This window comes from Homo sapiens, chromosome 4 (genome assembly GCF_000001405.40).
Source record: "Homo sapiens chromosome 4, GRCh38.p14 Primary Assembly".
NCBI lineage: Eukaryota > Metazoa > Chordata > Mammalia > Primates > Hominidae > Homo > Homo sapiens.
The window spans coordinates 9,146,829-9,170,400 of record NC_000004.12 but is presented as its reverse complement, the minus strand read 5'-3'; the positions used below and the strand labels follow the sequence as shown (position 1 = coordinate 9,170,400).

Sequence of the window (23,572 nt, the reverse complement as noted above, 5' to 3'; positions counted from 1 at the left end):
CCTGACTAGAGCTGCCGAGGGGTGGAGCTTCTGGGAAAAGGATCCCTCCTAGCGGGGAGTGTCTTGAGCCTGGGGCCATGTGGCAGGGACAGAGACGGGTCCATGGCAGTGTCTCCTCTTCTCTGTGAAGGCAAAGGGCCTCTGAGGGAGTATTACAGCCGCCTCATCCACCAGTAGCATTTCCAGCACATCCAGGTCTGCACCCCCTGGCTGGAGGGCCGAGGACTACCCCCGCTTCTAGGTGAGAGGCCAGCAGGAGGCTCAGGGAGGAGGCAGGGCCTTAAGCAGGGGGAGCAGGGGTGGGCAGGATGTACTTTTTCTGAAAAGGTGGCTCTGGAGGCCACTTGGGGAGAGGATCTGGGCTCTGGCTCAACTCCCGGGAGGAGGCTACTTCCTGGTGTGCCAGCCCCTCCCTGCCAGGTGGCCCCAGAGGCCCTTTACCAATGGGTTTGAGGAGGCCACGTCCTTTCAGCCTGCCACACCTTCTATTCAGCCCTCTTCCTTCCTGCAGGAGGGCTGGGCCTGGGGTTGGGGCCACTGTTGCCCAGGTGTGGGAGGGCAGTGGCTTTGGGAGGTGCAGGGACGATGTGTCAAACAGCGTCGCCTCTCCCAGTGAGATGGTTCTCCTTTGCCTCTGTCTCTTTCCCCGTTGATTTCTCCAAGTTGGGAGTCGTGGCTTGGACCTGATACGTCTCTAGAGCCGCATCTTCCAGCTTCGAGTGAGCAGAGCACTTGGCGGCCGAGGGCCTTTTCCTGGCAGGATTCTCCAGCTAGTCTTTGTTTTAGATAGTCTTGCTCCATTGCCTAGGCTGGAGTGCACGATCTCAGTTCATGCAACCTCCGCCTCCTGGGTTCAAGCGATTCTCCCACCTCAGCCTCCCAAGTAGATTACAGGATTATGGGAGCCCGCCACAACACCTGGCTTATTTTTGTATTTTTAGTGGAAACAGGGTTTCACCATGTTGGCCAGGCTGGTCTTAAACTCCTGACCTCAAGTGATCCTCTCGCCTTGGCCTCCCTAAGTGCTGGGATTCCAGGCGTGACCCATCATGCCTGGACCCAGCTAGTCTTTAGAAATGTTAAGCTATTTGGCTTTATTTTCACACTGACAGCTGGTTTGTGGTGGGTGTGCTGTGGATTATTATTATTATTATTATTATTATTATTATTATTATTATTATTTTGAGACGGAGTTTCGCTCTTGTAGCCCAGGCTGGAGTGCCATGGCGCAATCTTGGCTCACTGCATCCTCTGCCTTCCCGGGTTCAAGCGATTTTCCTGCCTCAGCCTCCTGAGTAGCTGGGATTACAGGCACCTGCCACGACGCTTCGCTAATTTTGTTTTTTTTTTTTTAGTAGAGATGGGGTTTCACCATGTTGGCCAGGCTGGTCTTGAACTCCTGACCTCAGGTGATCCACCCGCCTTGGCCTCCCAAAATGCTGGGATTACAGGCGGGAGGTAAACCTGGGAGGTGGAGGTTGCAGGGAGCTGAGATTGTGCCACTGCACTCCAGCCTGGGTGACAGAGTGAGACTCTGTCTCAAAACAAAACAACAACAACAAAAAAAACAAATTGTGGTTACGTAGAAAAAGTGTCAACTTACATTTTCAGATGTCCCAGCCAGGCCGTGTGGCTGCTTGGCCAGCTTAAGCCACTTGTGCTTGGGGATGTCGGGGGCTTTATCCAATTTTCACTCCCCTCGGGGGATGTTGTCTCACTATGCTGGGAGGATTTTTGTTCCCAGGGCGGAGACCAGCGCTCTAACCCACCCCTCTTGCCTAGCAGGGTCGGTGGACCTGGGTGTCTGTCTGGACACCTCCTCCAGTGGCCTGGGCCTGCCCATGAAGGTGGTGGACATGTTCAGGAGCTGTTTGCCTGTGTGTGCCGTGAACTTCAAGTGGTAGGAGCAGAACCCGAATCTTTCTGGGGATAGCTTCACAGATCCACCGCTGAGGGGGAATCAGTGCAGTGAGCTGCCCACAGTGAGGCCCTGCCCTTCGGTCAGTCCAGCACACACTGGAGGCCACGAGGAGGAGACCTGTGGTTACTGTGGCTGGGCTGAGCCTCACTGAAGTAGTTGCTTCCATTTAGAACTCATGTTATATTTAGGTTGGTACAAAAGTAATCACGGTTTTTGCCATTAAAAATGGCAATAACTTTTGCACCAACCTAATATGAAAAAAGAAAGCACCTTAAATACTAGAACTCCACTCGGGGCTTTTGCTCCTAGAGTAGAATTGGCGGGAATTGTCTGCAGGCTTACATGGTTTTCTTTGTTTTTCTCTCCCACCATGTCCCTTTTGGCCAAGCTCACATGGTGGGTTTGAATGAGTTAAATGAGTGTCATACTGTGGCCTCACTCCACCCAGCATAGATGGGTGTTTGGAAGGGTGGCGTTAGAGGAGATTCTAGAAGCAGTAGCCCCAGCACAAGTTGAGCCCTTGGCCCCTGCTCAGGAGCCGGCTCCTGGATGGGATTCAGGGATTCGAGCCCCTCATGTGAGCTGAGCTCAGGGAATGTCGGGATCAAATCTGGTGTCCTAGAAAAGTCATCTTTTATGTGCTGAACCAGTCCCCAGGGGGTTGCCTTTACTTGTTCCATGGCCATGGAATTAAGAAAAACATGCAAAAATAATTCTTCAGTACTTGAAGAGCATCCAGCACAGAACGTACAAACCTTCCTTAAGGCTCCCTCCTCAAATTGATTTGGCCATTTTGATGTGCACTCCCCCAGACCTTTATATGCTTCAGATGCCAAATCTAAGAACCAGCTCCCAGAAACCACACCCCCTGTTCCAACCCCCAGCCTGGCTTGAGCGTGGGGTGGGTGGGAGGCAAGCTGGGCACCCCAGGGGTCTGGTGTCTTCCCCAGGCAGCTCTCAGGCTCCCTTGGTTCTCTCTGCAGTTTACATGAGCTAGTGAAACATGAAGAAAACGGCCTGGTCTTTGAGGACTCAGAGGAACTGGCAGCTCAGCTGCAGGTAACCATGTCTGCCACCACGCCAGGGTGGGCAGGGTTCTGGAGACGGGCACCGAGCCACACTCCCTGATCCCTGCTTCCCACAGCCAGGGTGGTAACATGTGGGGTCTGGTGGAAAAGCTAGTGAGGGAGCAGAAGTCACAGATGCTGGCCTACTCTGCTGTCCCGTTTCGGTACAGTAGGCTCGGGAATGTTAGGACACACCCCCACCTGCCCTCTGGATTTATGGAGCTGACACTCCACAAATGATGCTGGAGCCGGGTGGGCAGGGCTGCAGTTTAGGAAGTTGTCAGGATCAGGTAGGTGTGTGGGCAAAGGGAACTTCTGGGACCAGCCTTGAAAGATGGGTGGAATTCTGCAAATGTTACTTGTTTCTTATTGCAAAAAGTAATACATCATTCTTGTCAACAGAATGATTGGGAGGATTTTCAGTAAAGGTCCAGGTCGGAAGTCATTTAGACTGGGTCCCCCAGTCTCTGTCAGAACCATGGTACTCTGTTGTGGCGTGAAAGTAGCCACAGATCATCTGTAGATTAAGGGGTGTGGCTTTGTTCCAATAAAGCTTTATTTACAAACACAGGCTGTGGGCTGGATTTGGCCTGAAGGCTGTAGTTTGTGATCCTTGATTCAGACAGTTTAGCAAGGCTGAAAAGAACACCCACACCCCCTTGTTACCCACAGATGGGTGGGACTGTGTTGGCCAGAGGCCGAGAGGAGGGTGCTCACAGGGGAACGTACAGCATGTAGAGGCCGGAAGGTGCTCCAGCGCACCAAGTGTGGGAAAGTGGGACACACGGGGAAGTTTCCAGAAAGCATGATGTCAAGTTGGAGGCGGAGCACTGCTGGGGTGTGAAGGGTCTCAAGTCCAGGTAAGGGAGTTAGGGACTTGGGAGGGGTTGTTGTTGGGTCGGGGACCTGGGGTCAGCCAGGTGGTGACCTGGGATGGGGTGGGGACAGGAAATGAGGTAAGCTCTGCTCTTTAGTATTTTGCAGATGCTTTTCTCAAACTTCCCTGATCCTGCAGGCAAGCTAAACCAGTTCTGGAAGAACCTGCGGGAGTCGCAGCAGCTCCGATGGGATGAGAGTTGGGTGCAGACTGTGCTTCCTTTGGTTATGGACACATAAGTCCTGGGCCAGAGGCTAAAACCCCAGGGCCCCTGCTGTCCTTCCCGCAGCTTCTTCTCGGAGTCTCAGGGCAAACCCTTTCAAGCAGCGCCTCCCAGTGGCCAGAAGCTGAAATGACAGCAGTGGTGCCACCTGGTGAATAACCCGGGAAGCTGTGGTTGGCCCTGATTTCTTCTTTGGAGTCTCTGAAGTGCTTCCTGTCTTCTTCTGTTCTTCATGCCCCATGCCCCTGCCAGCGTATTACTGTTCTGTGACTTCCCTGTGACCTCTGCAGTACTCCTCATCCTGCATTTGGTCTCCAGGTGTCACCTTTCTGCCATGTTCCTTACACTTTGATTCCTGTCTTGAAAAAAGCACCTGCTGCACCATAAGCCCAGGAATGTGGCAGCTGCAGCGGGCTTGGCTTTGTGAGGAACCGAGTGTGTCCAGGGATGTGGCAGCTGTAGCGGGCTTGGCTTTGTGAGGAAACGAGTGTGTCCAGGGATGTGGCAGCTGCAGCAGGTTTGGCTTTCTGAGGAAACAAGTGTGTCCACGTTGGGGGAACGTCATACTTGATACACTCGTTTTTATTTGCACAAAGAAAATGCTATTTTTGGAGCCAGAATTTTCATGTCTGATTTATGGTGATTTTCTTAAGAACCAGAACTGCTGGCAGAAAGGGGGCACCCACATGCTTAGATAGCCAATGTCTTATTAGAGGGCAGTTTGTGGTTCCTGATTTGGAATTTAACATTTTCCAAACATTCCAGTGCAATGAAAGTTTTATCCGCTTTCCCATATAAAAATTCTTCCCACGAGAGTGACTTAATTCTCACAAGCCCGTTGGAGTCGTGTGTGAGTCCTACAGTGTGAGGTTCAGCATTGCCATCTCCAAGTGCTCTCTGTAGGGAAACAGTTTCTGGTCATGATGAGCTTCCACTTCCCATCTGATCCCAGTCCAGCCTGGAAACAGAGCACGTGTTTGAGGATGGCGGTGTTTGGGGACAGGACATGAGCGTATTGTGTGGGGCTGCTAGGACAGGCCTGGCGGGGTGGAGGGTGCCTAAGTCAGTTTACTTTGTTCACAGCTTCCCAGGCCCACCCAGGTACCTAGAATTGGCCTCCAGGATGGGACCAGAAATCTGGTTTTGCATAGAAATGGCTAGCAGCAGGCACCATGCTGCTGTCCACTCTCTGCCCGCGTCTGCCCCAGCCCTTGGCATAGCAGGACAGAAGCAGACATCTGAACCCACATCTACCTGGCTGCTTAGTCAATCCACTCACAAAGCTTAGAAAGTGGCCGGGCACAGTGGCTCATGCCTGTAATCCCAACACTTTGGGAGGCCAACGCCGGCGGAACACTTGAGGTCAGGTGTTCGAGACCAGCCTGGCCAACGTGGTGGAACCCCATCTCTACAAAAATACAAAAATTACCCAGGCACGATGGCGGATGCCTGTAATCCCAGCTACTTGGGAGGCTGAGGCGGGAGAATTGCTTGAACCCAGGAGGCGGAGGTTGCAGTGAGCCGAGATTGTGCCACTGCACTCCAGCCTGAGTGACAGAGTGAGACTCTATCTCAAAACACACACACACATACACACACACACAAAGCTTAGAAGGGGCTGGTGTTCTCATAAGCACAGATGTCTGAAGAGCCATTATCCAGAATGATTCTTTTTTTTTTTTTTTTTTTTTTTTTTTTTTGAGATACGAACTTGTTCTTTCACCCAGGCTGGAGTGCAGTGGCACAGTCATTGCTCACCACAGCCTCGACTCCTGGGCTCTAGCAATCCTCCCATTTCCTGACTAGCTGGGATGACAGGTGCATGTCACCATGCCAGTAATTTTTTTATTTTGTAGAGATGGGGTCCTGAACCCATGGCCTCAAGTGATGCTCCTGCCTCAGCCTCTTTTATTATTATTTTTTAGATGGAGTTTTACTCTGTTCCCCAGCTGGAGTGCAGTGGCACAATATCAGCTCACTGCAACAACTCCCAGGTTCAAGTGATTCTCCTGCCTCAGCCTCCTGAGTAGCTGGGATTATAGGCGTGCACCACCACGCCTGGCTAATTTTTGTGTTTTTAGTAGAGATGGGGTTTCACCGTGTAGGCCAGGCTGGTCTTGAACTTTTGACCTCAGGTGATCTGCTCACCTCAGCCTCCCAAAGCCTCAGCCTCTTACAGTGTTGGGATTACAGGCATGAGGCACTGCGACCCGGGATGATTTTCAATCACGGTTTTTTTGTTACGAGTGGAAAATGCGTATTTATGAAAATGAAGTAGTATAGACATGAAGGTGTAGCAATCTCTATAATCCTGCCATCCAAGGATGGCACCTGTTAACGTGTATATCAGGGATGTCCAATCTTTTGGCCTACATGCGCCACATTGGAAGAAGAAGAATCGCCTTGGGCTACACATAAAATACACTAATGCTAGCAACAGCTGATGAGCTAAAAGAAAAAAAATCACAAAAAAAATCTCATATTGTTTTAAGAAAGTTTACAGATTTGTGTTGGGCCGCAGGTTGGACAAGCCTGCTATATATATGTTCTAGGTTTTCCCCTATAGGTATACCTATGTGAAAATGATGATTGTGATAATTTTTTTTTGAGATGAAGTCTTGCTATGTTGCTCAAGGTGGCCACAAACTCCTGGGCTTAAGCCATCCTCCTGTCTCAGCCTCCTGAGTAGTTGGGAATATAGGTACTCATAACTATGTGTGGGTGACTATTATTAGTTTTTAAACAAAAATGGGTCTGGGCGCAGTAGCTGACGCCTGTAATCCTAACACTTTGGGAGGCTGAGGCAGCAGATCACTTGAGATCAGGAGTTCAAGACCAGCCTGGCCAACATGGCGAAACCTCGACTCTACAAAAAATACAAAAATTAGCCAGGCGTGGTAGCACGCACCTGTAGTCCCAGCTACTCAGGAGGCTGAGATGGGAGGATAGCTTGAACCTGGGAGGTGGCAGGTTGCAGTGGACCGAGATGGCACCTCTGCACTCCAGCCTGGGCAATACAAAGCCAGACTCTGTCCCAGAAAAAAAAAAAAAAAAAACAAAAAAAACAAAAAAAAAAACGTTGGTGAGGGCTTATACTATGTGTGCTGCTTGGCACTGTTTTTTTCACTTAAAAGATATTGCAGGTTTTTTTTCACGTAAGTATCTGAAGAAAGACTTCCTTTTTTTTTTTTTTTTTTTTTGATTTTTGCTATTTGAGACAGGGTCTTGCTCTGTTGCCCACGCTGGAGTGCAGTGGTGAGATCAGGGTTCACTGCAGCCTCCACCTCCTGGGGTCAAGCCATCCTCCCACCTCAGCTTCCCGAGTAGCTGGGACTACAGGCGTGTGCAACCACATCTGGCTAGTTTCTGTATGTTTTGTGAAGATGGGGTCCCACTATGTTGCCCAGGTTGGTCTTGAACACCTGGGGTCATGTAGTCCTCCTGCCTTAGCCTCCTAAAGTGCTGGGATGACAGGCCTGAGCCCCGTGCCCAGCCAGCCTCCTGTGCGAGGTTGTGCTGGACTCTGTCGTGGAACCCAGTATGTCTTCGTGTGCTGGCTTGTTTGTTGGCTCTGTAGTTAACGGGCTGCCCCACGTGGACAGGCACTGGATTGTCCGTGTCTCTGTGTGCAGGCAGAGGCTGCTGCGGGTGCATCTGTGCACATGGCTTCCAGGAGGGGCTATGCTCAGGGGGAGCTGGGGCAGAGGCTGGTGGCAAATGGGGGCTTGGGTGTAGTGTGGAGGCACGAGAGCCAGGTAGCCGGGCTGCAGTGTGCGGGAGCTCGGGGGTCGCTTGGCCTCTGTGTGTCCTAGTGTCTTTGTCAGTGAGATGGGACAATGACAGCACACCCTCACAGGTGTTGGGGGCTGACAAATATCAGGTCTGAGGACAGTGGCTGGCCCACTACGGGGCCAGTTCCCCTTCTCTATAGTCACCCTGCTCGTCTTCCATCGACTGGGTGCTCAGGACAGTGGCATGGTAGATCCGCCTGTACAGCCTGTGCTCCAGCATCCTGCAGGCCACAGCTGTGTCCAGCCCTGACCCCAACTGCCCCTCCCACCACCTCCATTTTATAGATGAGGAAACCGAGGCCCAAGGGCTTAGGGAACCCTACTCTGAAACACATAGTAGGGCTGCTGGGCTCAGACCCTCCCTTCCTGTGCTGAGCTGCCCTCCTCCTGCCGCAAGCCCCCCACGCCCCAAGCCCACCCTGCTCACTGGCCTCTGCCCAAGTTCCCCGCATGGTGTGCGAGTGTGGGGCATCCTAGCTTTTCCCCGGCGCCCAGTTCTTTCACTTCCACTGGAGTTCTGCAGGGACAGCTCGGAGACCATGCAGGCCCGGGTGGGCGTGTGGGCTCACCTAGCTCGGTGGTGAACAGCTGGCACGTCTCTGGGTTGCGGACGGTAAAGGCCAGGTAGACCTCAGGAGCCTGCTTGTGCTCCCGGCAGGCAGCCAGCCTCCGCAGGACCCCGACCAGTGACACGATGGCTTCTGGGCAATACAGCACGTCTACAGTGAAAACTTCAGGTTACTGAAAGGGACAAGTGGAAAGTTCCAGTTCATGCTGACCTCAGCAGCAGGGCGAGGCCAGAGAGGCAGCGCTCATATGAGACTATTAGATGCCATTTGACCTTTTGGGCCATTAGATTGAAAGGCAATTACTTGGGTGAAAAAGGAGAACCCTTAGTAGAGAAAGCTGCAAAAGACCGAAGCAAAAGAAAAAAAATCTCCAGACTCACTGGTGTTCCTTAAAAAAAAAAACAGTTCTGGTTCTCGGCCTATCTAGAGGGCTTTGAATGACAGAAAGCCTGACCCTACCGTGAACTTCTTGTTTCAGGTGTCTGCCGTTTGGTCTGCTGGCTTGCAGGGGTGGGCCTGTGTCCCTGGCCACCGCTGGACCTGTGGGTTTCAGGGCTGGGACCCAGGGCCACAGGCAGAGCTCTGTTCCACCAGAGAGGGGACTGAGTGTGCTGGCAGGGGTGAGGGGTTTTCGGTGGCCCAGCCAAACACCACCTTTTCTCAAGGGCCCTGTCCTCGTCCCAGAAGTGGTTGTTTTTCTCCTGTGGTCTCTGAAGGACACAGGGCATGGCTCTGGGACAGAGCCATGTGGTGACCACTGTAATGGGAGTATACCTGTCTCCAACAATAGGGCTGTGGCTTGAAGGTCACCTTAAGAGGCACCGCTGTCCTTTGATGTCACCCTGGAGGTCCAGAGTAACTCTTCTGGAAACCCCATCATATCCATGCCCGACAGCATCCATTGTTCCCTTTTCCCAGAGCTAAAAGCTGGATAATGCTGCAAGGACACCGCCTGCACAGGATGCCCGGGGCTGGGCATTACCTGCTGCAATGACAATATCTGGCTGGAAGGCAGAGAGCTGATGGACTGTCGCTACGTCCCAGTCCAGCTGGGCCACTGTCACCCTGGGGCGTCTAAGTTGGCAGTGATGTCTGCCTCTAATGAGAGGCCATTGAGAAGGACATTCCCTCGGAGCTGCTCGAGGACCCGGCTGTGACAGTCGCTGAAGATGTATGCCTGGGGGCGACACATCTTGCAGATGGCCAGGCCTGTGAGGCCAGCGCCACTGCCAAGCTCTAGGACACCCCTGGTGGGAAGAAAGGGGAGCGTGTCTTCGACTGCACCAGGGTAAGCCTGCCTTGGTGCCCTGCCCTGTGCCCCGAGGTCACCTGTTAGTGAAGGCTGCTGGGTTCTCGATGGCCCATTCTGCAAGGTAGAGGGTGGCGTCCCATGTGACCAGGCCTGTAGTACCATGGGAGATGATGGCTGTGATCTCGGAAAGTGTGAACGAGCCTCCCGAGGGCTGCACCAAGAGAGGGTGAGAGAGTCAGTCCAGCGATCAGAAGGCAAGTGGCTTAGAAGACAAGTAGCCATCCACCGCATGGCTGAATAAACCATGACAGGACCAATCACCACTCAGCAATGAGAAGCAGCTAACTGTTGACATGCCAACAGCTTGCACGGGCCTCAAGGGTGTCATGTGGCATGAAAGACACTCATCTCAGGCCACACAGGATTCCATTCATCCCACATTTCTGAGACAATGGAATTCTGGCGATGGAGCACAGGTCAGTGGTGGCCAGGGGCCGGGTGTGGCTACGAAGTGGTGGCTGCCTTGTGATGATTCAATATGCTATGTTTGTCCTTTGTGGTTTTCTGTATCTATGTTTTATCTTATTTTTTTTTTGAGCTCTGTCACCCAGGCTAGAGTCAGTGGCACGATCTTGGCTCACTGCAACCTCTGCCTCCTGGGTTCGAGCAATTCTCCTGCCTCAGCTGCCCAAGTAGCTGTGACTACAGGCGTGTGCCACCATGTCCAGCTAATTTTTATACTTGTTTTTGAGACAGAGATTCGTTCTCATTGCTGAGGCCAGAGTGCAATAGCTTGATCTCAGCTCACTACAACATACACTTCCTGGGTTCAAGAGATTCTCCTGCCTCAGCCTCCAGAGTAGCTGGGATTACAGGCACCCACTACCACATCCTGCTAATTTTTGTATTTTTAGTAAAGATGGAGTCTCACCATGTTGGCCAAGCTGGTCTCAAACTCCTGACTTCAGGTGATCCCCCAGCCTCAGCCTCCCAAAGTGCTGGGATTACAGGTATGAGCCACCACGTCTGGCCTAATTTTTGTATTTTTAGTAGAGACAGGGTTTCACCATATTGACCAGGCTGGTCTCGAACTCCTGACCTCAGATCCACCAGCCTCGGCCTCCCAAAGTGCTGGGATTACAGTCGTGAGCCACCATGTCCAGCCCTGTCAAGTATTCTTTGAGGACTGGGCACCGGGTCCTTGTGAAGCAGGTAGTGTGTGTCACCTATTAGACAAATGCCCAACAACCCCATGAGACATGCTGTTGTTGTTGAAGTGCTTGATTTACAGACAGGGAAACTGAGGCTAAAGAAGGTTAATGGACCTCATATCTAAGACTGCAGAATGGGTGAGTCAGGATTTGAACCCACACCCACGTTTTCACTTTGTCTGTGCAGGAAGGGTATCTGGGCTGTGAGGGGGAGGAGGGTGCCCTTCTCATACCAGCAAATAGCTCCGGTGGCCCTGGGTGGACTCCTTGGCCATCAGAGTCTCCGCCAGCACCTCGTACAGCTCGTCCAAAGGCTCCGTGTGGACAGCCTCGTGCTGGGGGCAGACAGAGTGAGAGCTTGTTTGCTTTCGTTCTAATCTGTAAAAATGGTCAGATGATTTTCACCAAGTTTGGAGGGGAGATTTGGGATGGAATGGTGTAATACCGGCCAGCTGGTATATAAAATATTCACTTCGTTGGGTGTGGTGTTGTGTGCCGAATAGTTCCAGCTACTCTAGAGGCTGACGTGGGAGGACTGCTTGAGCCCAGGAGTTCGAGGACAGCCTGGGCAACAGAGATCTTGTCTCTAAAAAAAAAATAATTCCACTTGGTAGGGAAACCTGGACGGGAGGGCCTTCAACAAGAGGTGTTGAGAGGGTAGGGTTAGGTGTAGTCTAGGGCAGGAGACAAGGATTCCGTGAGAGCTGCCACGTGACCATGACAGAGAGCTCTGTGTTTGGATCAAACACAGAGAGGAGGAAAACGAAAGGTGATTTTAAGTGAGCCCAGGCAGAACTGTGAGGGCGGCCCATGCTGCAGGCTGTGGCTGTCAGCAGGCTGCTTCTCCACAGCTGGCCCCGTCCTACAATTCTCAGGGCAGCAGCAGGGTACACTGGGTGACTGCTGCCCTCTCCTGGTGGCACAGGGCAGACCTGCTGGTGACCACAGATGCACCCTTTTGGAGAGAACTAGGGAGAAAGCAGGTATTGGAGAAGCAGGGGATTGTTTATTTGCTGAAAGTGTGGCCCTTTCACTCAGCAGGTCTGCTACTGCCTACTAAGGAACGGCCTCTCGACATCCTCATGTCAAACCCTGCATGTTAGGGCCCACCTTTAAAATCCATCCTAGGCCAGGTGTGGTGGCTCATGCCTGTAATCCCAGCACTTTGGGAGGCCGAGGCAGGCGGATCACCTGAGGTCAGGAGTTTGAGACCAGCCTGGCCAACATGGTGAAACTCTGTCTCTACTAAAAATACAAAAACTAGCCAGGCATGGTGGCGTGTGCCTGTAGTCCCAGCTTCTTAGAAGGCTAGGCACGAGAGTTGCTTGAACCCAGGAGGCAGAGGTTTCAGGGAGCCGAGATTGTGCCACGGTAATCCAGCCTGTGCAACACAATGAGACTGTCTCAAAAAAGTAAATAAATAAGTAAAAAATAAAATCCATCGTATGTCAGTCAGGAAAGAGCTCATTCCAGCAGGATCAATGCAGAGAATTCACCAGAGGAACCAGTTCCAAAGGTATGGCAAGAGCTAAATCTTCCAACAGTGGCCCGTGGGGCAACCCAGAGATGGACAAGAGCAGGAAACTCCAAACCCTTCGGCGGGCAGGACAGAGGGTATGAGTGAGCGTCCCAGTGCTGTTTGCTGGACCAGCCTGGTAGGAATGAGAATTCATATGCTAGGAGATGGGGCCCCAGAGAAGCAGCTGCTGTGTAAACCCCAGGAAGCAGAGTGAGGGAGAGACGCTGGCCTCCCCTTCTTCCCGCCCTGCACTGTCTCCCATGGGTCACACTCAGCTGCAGCCAGTTGCCTGGGGAGGCCCCTGCCATGCTGGGGTTTGCAAAGCACGCCCAGGGCCTGGGAAGGACGGGGTGTGCAGCACGCCGGTGGCTATGCTGTCCGGCTACTGGGTGGACACTGCCCATAACTGACCTTTTTGATGAGTTCTGAGAGAAAGCACCGGGCATACTTGACTGATGGCGGGTGCTTCACACACACGGGATGCTTCACAGTCTACAGCAAAGGACAGAACGTTGGTTGCTCGAGAGCCCGTCTTAAGTCTCCTATGAGCTTCAAGCCAACACAGCAGAGGGCAAACTCCAGGCTACCCAATCCCTCAGCAAAGATGCAGATGGACAAAGCGTTCTGGCCCCACGCATCTGAAGTTTGTCTTAAGATATAAGCCATTTCCTAAAAATGCTTCCACTGCAGTGGCACAGGCTATGGCAGCATTTCTAATGCCCATTCTGAGCAGGAACACAGGGCATGTGGGCCCAAACCACCTCCCTCCCACGGGAGCCAGTGTGAACCAGGGTTTGCAGTAAGGACAGTCGCCAACTGTCTGGCTCTATGGAAGAGGCGGGAAGGCCCACTCGGCAACTGCTCTCTTGGAGCGTGTGTCCCTGGGGACAGGATGGAGGGGAGGGGAATCTCAGGGTGACTCCAGCTAAAGCCGAGAGAAGCCAAGTGCAGGATGAGCAAGTTCCAGGCAGTGGGAACAGCCTGTGCAAGCTCTGAGGTGGCCACGGGCTGGCACTTGGAAAGGAGGGCAGAGGGAATTGTGCAGCAGGAGGGGGGACGGTGGGAAAACAGGAGCCTGGAAGGAGAGGGAGGAGACGGTCCGCAGTGCCTGCTGGCTGGGAGGGATGCAGATTCTGCCCAAGGGCAGCAATGTACCCCACGCAATACACAGGCTCTTCATGCTGGTGCTGGTTTTTCATTTGTTTTGACACAGAGTCTCACTCTGTTGCCCAGGCTGGAGTGCAGTGGCCCGATCTTGGCTCACTGCAGCCTCTGCCTCCTGGGTTCAAGCGATTCTCCTGCCTCAGCCTCCCGAGTAGCTGGGACTATAGGCGTGCACCACCATGCCCAGCTAATTTTTTTATTTTTAGCAGAGATGGGTTTTTGCCATGTTGGTTAGGCTGGTCTTGAACTCCTGACCTTAGGTGATCCGTCCACCTCAGCCTCCCAAAGACCTGGGATTACAGGTGTGAGCCAGTGCACCCAGCCTTGTGCTGGGTTTTAAAGCAGCTCTCCCTACATCTCATGCTTCACCACCTACGAGAGTGAGGCTCAGGGTGAAACTCAGAGCAAGGTGCGAGATAACTTCAGGTATCTCCATGCTCGAAGCCCTGACCTACTGTATTGCCCCAAAAGTCTTCCCTGCTGTGGCTGCATCTTTTCCACGTGGATAATCTTGATTCACCTCTAGCACAGGAATTCTTCCCCGGGGCTCCTAGGATTGGGCTGGGTGGGTGAGGGTGGAGGATGTCTGCCTCCCCTGAGTTTGTATGGAAAATGTATTCTTCTGGTGCACTTCTTTCTGGGAGGGAGTCTATTGCTTTGTCTTTTCAGAAGGGCTCATGGCCCTTCGAAGGTGAAGACCCAGGATGCAGGGTGATCTGCACTTGGCCCTCAAGGCCAAGGTCAGCCTGTGGCTGGGCCGGGTGGTGATCCTGGCTCTCACCTGCATGCAGATGCACTTGAGTCCAAACCCTACCCTGGGCAAAGCAAGGGCCCATTTAGGTCTAGAAGAGACAGGAGTGGGCGGGACAGGCCTCATAAATGCAAAAAGAAAGTCTCTGAGCATCTACCAAATGCTAGAAGCTGTTTTGCACCTGTCATCTCTGTTTTTGCTGTGGATGGTTTAAAAAACATTCCCTAGATTTCCCCCCTCTTGCAGATTTTTGTATATTCTGATGTCTTTGTCTAAGTCTTAGATAGAAAACGAAAGCGCAGGAGCTGTGGGAGGTGCTGACACCCTCCTGCAGTGCTGACTCAATGGTTTTGTTCTTTGAAGAGGGCTGTTTTTAAAGGGTACAAGCACACCTGTGCTGCTTCTTTCAGGTCTTCCGGAGAGATTCAGGCGGCAGGGTCATGAGTCCCAGGGACTCTGGGATTCTTACCTTCTGCAAAATATCCCGCAGCAGCTCAGAATCTGATGAGTCTCTTAACTTTGCCTCTAAGCTCTGTGTGGATGGGAGAGAGAGAAATCTCAAGGGCACATTCACAGGAACATTAAAACACGCAATAGAATGTGTTGGCAAAGCTCTATGTGATCCCTCCCTGGGGACGTGGAGCCAGTTGGAAGTGGAAGCCACAGCGGCTGAAAGCCTGACCTTCAGATGTCGCAGAGTGCACCTGGATGAGTCACAGGAAGAAGGCTGACTCTTGGCCGCATTAGTCCTGGCTACTCAGTTGCCACCCAGGTCATGGGCCAGCTCCCTGGTTACACTGGTCAGCCAGGAATTACCAGGGCAGCCATGGCACCAAGGTTTGATGGGCTTGCCATCTGAGTTTAAGTGGAAATGCAGAATGTGCCCATACCAGCCTGGGTTACATTGCTGTCTTACAGGGGCCTCAAGCCCACCAGCGAGCTTTGGCTCCCGAGTTAGGCAGACTGTCTCGGCTGGTATGTGACACACGGCAAGGCACTTCATTGCTTCAGAGCTCCTTCCATGCCATAAAAGGCCCTACAAGACCTGCTGCTAATCCCCCTCTCTGGCCTGTTCTCCCTCACCCCTGGCCCACCCTGCTCACTCCACTCCAGCCACACTGGCTGCCTTGCTGTTGTTCCTCAACCACAGCTGGCTTATTTCCACCACAGGGCCTTTGCATATCCTGTTCCCCAAACCCTTCCCATGGCTGGCTGCTTCACCACTCAGGCCTCAGTTCAAATGCCACCCCTTTGGGGAAGGCTTCCCTGATTCCCTGACTTTGTTGACACTTTTTCCCAGTTGCTCCATTCACTATTTCCCTGTTTTATTGGTTTTAAAGCCACTCTAATCTGGTATTTTCTTGTTTATTCATTTATTTGTTTATTCTCTGGCTCTCCCATGCAAGCAGAGCCTCATCTATCATGGGTACAGCTGATCCATGGTGCCTGGCTCACGGAAGGCATTTTGAGACTGAATAAAACACTAGCTAACACCGACATGCATTTACCATGAGCCAGGCACTGATCCGCAGGCTTTTGTATTCAACGCTGACAACAACCCTAAGAGGTAGGTATCATTATATCCCCCATTTTGTTAATAAGAAAACAATAACACAGAGAGATGCAGTCACTTGCCCAAGGTCACACAGGGCCAGGGGTTGGGCCAGGATTCGAAGCAGGCAGGCTGTCTCCTGGGTCTGAACTCTCAACTACTTCACCCTAATCAAACAATCCCTCTGGTCAAATGTGAGTGATAATAATAGTACCCACCTCGTGGGTGTTGAGGGTGAGCCCAAGTTAGCATTCAGTGTGGGCATGTGAACAATTATAGTCAATATTGAATGGAGACCTATGATGCTTTTATGAAGGTTTCTATTTTGGGTTAAAAATGCACAAATTTCTCCTGACCAGAAATGATCCCTGAGTGCTAAATATTTTATGTCAATGCAATAACGCAAATGATTAAGCAACACCCCATAAAATGGGGCAGACACAGGGAGGAATATATATCCAAACTGACTCATCCCAGTGAGCTCACTGCACATGAATTACAAATGGAGCGGGGTGCATTAAGCCCCTCTGCTGGCAGAAGGGAGGCTGCTGCCTGCCATATGCCTATGCTGAGAATGGCAGGTCCCCAGGGAGAGGAGAGGCCACCCCCTTCTCTGTCTCTTCCATCACAGGCGTGAAAGCCTCAGCGCATGAGCCGATTCTGTGCAGTGCTCGACATACAGATGAGAACACTGAGGCATGAGAGACAGCCTGTGACCTGGTCACCGCGCTCAGGAGGCGGTGGTTACCCGCGGGCCTGAGGGCGCTGACTTTTTAGAATGGGCGAGCGCAGCTGTGTCCCAGTGACCAGAACGATTACTGCCTTTAAAAAGTCGTGAAAATGATCGTGAACTGTGCCCCACACCGAACGCGCGTCTGCCCCCCAGGGCGGTGGAGACGCCCCCAGCTTCCGCCGCCAGCTCGCGGGGCAGAAGGGGTGCGAGCGACTCTGGCCAGGCCCCAGGGACGGGGACCGGGTCTCGCGGCCCTGACCGGGGAGAGCCCAGGAACGCACGTGGCCGGAGCGCCAGGGGTTTCAGCACCGAGACCCATCCCGTCTGCCCCTGGACTCCCGCGACCCCCGCGGGCCTCTCCGCTCGCCCCGCCGGCCACCTGCCAGGGGAAGGAGCGCAGTGAGCGCGCCGCCAGGAAGCGGCGCTCGAAACCCTGCAGCCAGAGTTCTGTCCCCGCGTTCTCCTCGGGCGCCATGACGTGGGCGGAGCCGCAGCGTTGCCTGGAGACCTGGAGGAAGCCGGGCCTGGACTGAAGAGGGGGCGGGCCGAGGGCAGTGCGCGGGGGCAGAGAGGGGGCGGGGCCTGGGGATACGGTCAGGAGGTGCGTCCTGGGGGCGGACTCTAGGGCGGGGCCAAGATGAGCGTTAGGAGGGCGGGGCCTGGGGTGTGGCCAGGATGAACGTCATGAGGGCGAAGCCTGGGGTAGGGCCAGGATAAGCGACGTTGGGGCAGGTCCTGGGGAGAGTCCAGGTTGGCGGTTCCTGGGGCGGGGCCAGGATAGGGCGATCCTGGAAGCTGGGCTTCGGAAGCGTGCAGGTTGGTGGCGTCCTGGAGGCAGTGCCTTGCGTGGGGGCAGGATAAGAGTCCTGGAGGCGGGCATTAGGGCGGGGATAAACGCCATTGGGTTCAGGAGGCGGGACTCAGAGCCGAGCCCAGGAGAGAGGTCTTAGGGCGGGGCTAAAGCCAGACCCAGGGAAGGGCTCAGGAGGCGGGGCAGGGGCGGGGCGTTGACTATGTCGTAGCACACGGCCAGGCGGTGCGCGGACTCTGGGAGGCGAAGCTTAGGACGGGCCCACGTGGGGAGGGGCCCAGGGTCCGGGAGGCGGGGCCGAGTCCGGGCTGGGCTGCGCTCAGGAGGTGGGCCCTGGGAGGCGGAGCTTAGGGAGGGGCCGGTGTCGGGAGGGACCCAGGGACTGGGAGGCCGGTCGGGGCTGGGCTCGGGGGCCGAGACCTAGCTGGGCTTGGGGCGGGGCCGAGACGGAGCGAGGGGTCCAGGGTGTGGGAAACGGGGAGGGATTTGAGGAGGGGATCGGAATGTGGCTCCAGTTCGGGAGGCGTTACCTGCGGAGGGTTTGAGGAAGGCCCAGGAGCGAGCCCATGGTCTTCCGACGCGGGGCCAGGGGCGGGCCCCAGGATCCGGAGCTTCGGGGGGGCCGAGTCCGGGTTTGGGGCCCGGGAGGCGGGGCCAGTTAGGTCGAGGGTCCCTGGGATCGTCGGGTCAGGCCTTGGGCTAACGTAGGCACTCTCGCAGTTCCTCCGCCTTCAGGAAGGTCTTTTTAGCAGGGGCCTTACGGGTGCATGCTTCGGTCCTGGAGGACTTAGGCTAGCCTCCTCTCCATCAGCGCCACCCGTCTGGGGCCCGAAAGGAGGGAGCTTTCCCTCTGTCCCCCAGCCTTTGGACTGTCACCAAACAAGCCATTCGTTCACCAAATACTTTTTAAGCGCCTACCATGTGCCTGACAAGGGATATGTAACGGTGAGAAAAACTAGGTGTGGTCCAGGCCCTTCAGGGACTCAGGGGCTCGTGGAAGAAGTGGATATTGAAGTACTTATCACACAAAGGAGGATAAAAGTACGATAGCGATATCTACCACGAAGGTGAGCAGACAGAGCTAGCGGGGCTTGCAGGAGGAGTTTTGATCTTGCAGGGACAGGAAGGAGGAGTTAGCTCCTGCGGGGTGGGATTGGGGGTGGTAGTGATATAGACGTGGGGACAGAGTGGAAAACAACAAAAATATAATTATTTTAGTTCAAAGTTATTGTGTCTTGAGTTGAAAGGCAGGGCAGTTAGCAACACAGTTTAGATTTCAGTACTGCCCCTGAAATCTGAACTGTGTTCAAAGTCTAAAACGTTTACCTTAGCAAATTCCTCATAAAACTCCATTTGGAAGAGTCCCGAGAGCGAATTTGTTAAGTATACTTGCAAAAGGTAGATGAGGAGACAGATAAAATCTTATTACCTCTTTCAGATGAGAGGCACTTAAGCCCTGCTCAGCTATGAGAATAAGAGAGGGGAATTAATTCTAATTGAATACACTTGTTCTCTTATAGCTGTTGTTCCACACCAGAACCAAATGAGCGCAAGATCTGACAAAAAAAAAAGGTTCATCTTTTATTCTTCCAAACACTTTCATTTAAATCAAGAGGATGGGATGTGGTTATTACTGTGTTTTTAGACAAAATCAATGGTTTCTGGCTCTGAGATGTTGCATACACCCTCTCAGTCCCTGTATCCTGAGATGGAGTCACCTGAGAATCCACAGCAAGTCCTAACCAGGGATGGGTCTGGGTGATTAAGGAAGATTGGCTTCAGAACTGGGCCAGGGGCACTGCTTTGCTTTTGCTGTTTTGATCAGCTCTCTGCCTGCAGGAGACGAGGAAAACCAATGGGAACAGGTTAGTTATACTCATAAATCCTGGGCTTATTTTATTAACTCACATAATAGCTATTAATTGTCTTTCCTCCAAGGAGCAAAAGGGCATATACGGTCAATGTCATAGTAAGTAACACTGTATTATGTTACACTAAAATATTAATCTAGGTTGGTTCAGTCTTTCTTGAGTCCACAGATTGGAAGCAGATTGAGGAAGGACGCTAGCAGACCATAGAGCTGAGCCATGCACACAGAAGAAATCTTTTTTTCTTTTTTTCTGGAGACGGAGTTTTGCTCTCTAGTTGCCCAGGCTGGAGTGCAATGGTGCGATCTCGGCTCACTGCAACCTCCACCTCCCAGGTTCAAGCGATTCTCCTGCCTCAGCCTCCCGAGTAGCTGGGATTACAGGCGTGAGCCACCCTGCCGGGCCACTTTTGTATTTTTGGTAGAGACAGGGTTTGAACACCTTGGCCAGGCTGGTCTCAAATTCCTGACTTCAGGTTATCCACCCGCCTCTGCCTCCCAAAGTGCTGGGATTACAGGCATGACCCACCGCGCCTGGCCAGAAGAAATCTTTATCTTGGTGCGCAGTGTCTGGTGATGGACAAATGTCATCTCTCTTGGATCTGAATCTGGAAGGATCAAGGCACTGAAGGGATTTTTTTTGTTTCAGAGAGTCTCCCTCTGTTGCCAGGCTGGAGTGCAGCGGCACGACCTCGGCTCACGGCAACCTCTGCCTCCCGGGCTCCAGCGATTCTCCTGCCTCAGCATCTCGAGTAGCTGGGACTACAGGCACACATCACCACGCCCAGCTAATTTTTGTATTTTTAGTAGAGACAGGGTGTTACCATGTTGGCCAGGATGGTCTCAATCTCTTGACATCATGATCCACCTACCTTGGCCTCCCAAAGCGCTAGGATTACAGGCGTGAGCCACCACGCCCAGCCTCACTAAAGGGATTTTTTTAATATCACGTGGCTCTCACAGGTGCGGTGTGTTCGGGTGCAAGTGAAGATTATGACTGATGCTTAAAACCAAACGTAAAATTCCAGGTGGTGTTGCTATGGGGAGCAGCATTAGGACAATCTGAGTGGCTTCAGTTGCAAGAGTGTGCGTGTACGTGCAAGAACTACAGTCAAGATTCAACTTCTGGTTTGAAGATCTCTTTCATAACAGTAATAACAACCTAAGGCAGTTTAACAATATGGAATGGTTGCCTTTTAGAAGTTAACTTATGGGCATGGAAGTTCAATCAGTACATTGAAGTTTTTCCTTTATCTCTCCTATGGTTAATGGTTTCTGCAGAAAAGGACCAATTGATTTCTTTCTAAAACGTTGCTTCAGGGTGTAGAGACCTTTATAGGTCATGTTTTAATTTACAGAAAATTTTTATAGTTTAAATATAAATTACGTTCAATGTGGGCTTTGTAATACAATTTAAGGTTAAGTAAAGTTTCCACTTTCCTTAGGCTGTTTGCAGTGCCCAGCAGGCCCCATGATATCGAGATGGAAGTTATGTTAAAGGAGGAGGTTGGTCAGGGATGGGCAGAATAAGGAATATGCGCAGCTCAGGCTAATGATGCAATGATTGAGGTGTAGAAAGAGGGCCAAGCATGGGATAACGCCTGTAATCCCAGTGCCTTGGGAGGCCAAGGCAAGAGAATCTCTTGAGGTCAGACCAGCCTGGTCAACAGAGTGAGACCTAACCTGTACAAAAAAAAAACACACAAAAAAACAAAAAAAATTAGTTGGGCATGATGGTGTGCACCTGTAGTCTCAGCCACTTGGAAGGCTGAGGTCAGGGGATCCCTTGAGCCCAGGAGTTTGAGGCTGCAGTGAGCTATAATCACATAACTGTACTCCAGCCTGGATGACAGGGTGAGGCGCTGACTCAAAAAAAAAAAAAAAAAAATGAGTCAGGGAAAAAATTGGAAATCTTAATCCTCGGTACCCAGGAATGTGACCTTATTTGGAAATAGGGTCTTTCTAGATGTAATCAAGTAACGATGAGTCATCCTGGATTGGGGGCTGCTGGTGAGGGGGCAGATGCAATGACTGGTGTCCTTATAAAAGAAGAGAATGAAGGCCGTGCATGGTGGCTCATGCCTGGAGTCTCAGCACACTTTGGGAGGGTGAGGTGGGGGGAATCACTTGAAGTCAGGAGTTCGAGACCAGCCTGGCCAATAATAACAATAAAAAAGCCATTTTAGATTCCAATCCACTGAAAGAAAACTGTCCCTTAGTTAATGTCGTGCTTATTGGATCCATGAAGTCTTTGAAAATTTAAACTACAAGGACACTGCCCTCTGTGGTGGTGGAGAGAATACCAAGGACTTAAAGGTCTTTAAGAAAGAGAATGTAGAAAATGTACCCATTGGAAACAGCAAAATGATGATAATCGTACTGACAGTAATAATAAGCTCAAATATATAGAGCTTACTGTGTATCATGAATTGTTCTGAATGCTTTATAAATATATGTTACCCCCTTTACCCTCATGGCAGCCCAGTAAAGGCGCCATTCCCCATTTTACAGCTGGGGAAACTGAGTTACAGAGCTTTTCTGCACTGAGTCATCAGGAGCAAATGCTAGATCAGGTAATTGAACCCAAGCAATCTGGTTCCAGAGCCAAATAGATGTATGTTTTATGGTATACAAACATATACATACATTTTTAGGGGAAGGGTGGGGGTAGGATGGGATGAGGATTATGAGTAATTGCTTGGTAAATGCCAAATACCTTTCTTGTCTGTCCCTCTTTTCAAATGATAAAGTAATGTCAATTGCACACTTTTTTTTTTTTTTTTTTGAGACAAGGTCTAGCTGGAGTACAGTGATGCAGTCATAGCCCACTGCAGCCTCAGATTCCTGGGCTCAAGCAATCCACCCACATCAGTTTCCCAAGTAGTTGGGACTACAGGCCCACACTACTATGCCCAGCTAATTATTTTAATTTTTGTAGAGATGGCAGGTGGCGGTGGGGGGGGGGGGTTGTCTCGCTATGTTGCCCAGGGTGGTCTCGAACACTTGACCTCAAGTGAACCTCCTGCCTCAGCCCCACAAATCTCTGCAATTATAGGTGTGAGCCACTGTGGCTGGCTACAATACTATTTATTTATATTTTAGACCAACAGATATTCTAGTATATAAGAAATGTGATGCTCTCTGTACATTGAAGAGTTGGGCTAATATTTGTCCTGGTGGATACAGAAATTGCCTGTCTGCTCCGCTCTGGTTGAAGAAACCAGTCCGACTGTCTCTGAGGCTATGGAGCAGTCCATGAAGAATGAAAGCCCTCTGCCAGGCATGTTGGCTCACACCTGTAATACCAGCACTTTGGGAGGCCGAGGCAGGTGGATCACTTGAAGTCAGGAGTTCGACACCAGCATGGTCAACATGGTGAAACCCTGTCTCTACAAAAAATAGAAAAATTAGCTGGGCCTGGTGATGCGTGCCTGTAATCCCAGCTACTCAGGAGGCTGAGGCAAGAGAGTCACTTGAACTTGGGAAGCAGAGGTTACAGTGGGGAGCTGAGATCACACCACTGCATTCCAGCCTGAGCGACAGAGCGAGACTCTCTCCAAAAAAAAAAAAAAAAAAAAAAAGAAAGAATGAATGTCCTCATGATGGCCTCAAGCACATTGGTCCCTGAAGAGGGTCAAAGAAGGCCCACTTTACTCTGCACTGCAAAGCAGGCAGGTGGACAGGATGAGAAGTGGATTCAGTGAGAGGCATTGACCCAGAGGATTTTCTGCCTAATGGTTCAGCAGAAGATTAAACTGAGCACAGCATCCTGTTCCCTGAAACCATCTGGTTGGTCAGTGGGGAATGTTCTTGTCTCGTTAAATGTTCTCATGCTACTGTCAAGATATTCTGTTACAAAACGTCATAAACCACGTTTACAAATAGGCCAGGTGACTGTGGAATATCTCCTTGGCAAGGCCTTAGCTATGGGCGTGCGATTGGTGTATAGCAATCAGTGTTCCGGGCCACTTCAGGGATAAAATATAACTTAGGTGATAAACTGTTGTATTTTAATGTGAATATTTCCGCCAGCATTAAACAGTAACCCCATGAGTTTTCTCATACCTATTACACTCCGGAGTTGCAACAAGCTAACATGAAGGAAGTTGCAAACAGAATTATCGCATTTGGCTCCTATTCACAGCAAGGGTTCTTCAAGCTGTACCTGGGGCAGTCTTCCCTCACATGAGGTTTATAGCATCATTTATTTAATTATTTATTTATTTTTTGAGACGGAGTTTTGCTCTGTCGCCCAGGCTGGAGT

The 23,572-nt window shown here is 51.7% G+C and overlaps 1 long non-coding RNA gene and 2 pseudogenes across 10 annotated transcripts in view, besides 2 other annotated features; 2 read left to right on the top strand and 1 right to left on the bottom strand.

Moving 5' to 3' along the window:
• Positions 1-102: 102 nt before the first annotated feature.
• Positions 103-3,995, top strand: ALG1L14P (ALG1 like 14, pseudogene; annotated as a pseudogene).
• Positions 3,523-17,186, bottom strand: FAM86KP (family with sequence similarity 86 member K, pseudogene; annotated as a pseudogene).
• Positions 16,967-17,096: a silencer, noted in NCBI's record as "silent region_15267". NCBI's record gives its function as "represses an Ori minimal core promoter by ATAC-STARR-seq in GM12878 lymphoblastoid cells {active_cell/tissue: GM12878}" and the evidence as "EXISTENCE:reporter gene assay evidence [ECO:0000049][PMID:35858748]".
• Positions 17,720-17,829: a silencer, noted in NCBI's record as "silent region_15266". NCBI's record gives its function as "represses an Ori minimal core promoter by ATAC-STARR-seq in GM12878 lymphoblastoid cells {active_cell/tissue: GM12878}" and the evidence as "EXISTENCE:reporter gene assay evidence [ECO:0000049][PMID:35858748]".
• The window catches only part of LOC105369250 (uncharacterized), a 117,941-nt gene continuing 112,255 nt past the window's right edge, over positions 17,887-23,572 (top strand). For 5 of the 10 annotated variants that reach the window (XR_001741579.3, XR_001741578.3, XR_001741584.3 and 2 more), the window contains exons 1-2: positions 17,907-18,508; positions 18,962-19,306. This is a non-coding gene — a long non-coding RNA (uncharacterized LOC105369250). Of the gene's footprint in view, positions 18,509-18,961; positions 23,194-23,572 lie in introns of those variants that run through there. The other 5 variants (XR_001741581.3, XR_001741585.3, XR_001741577.3 and 2 more) reach the window with 5 other exon arrangements.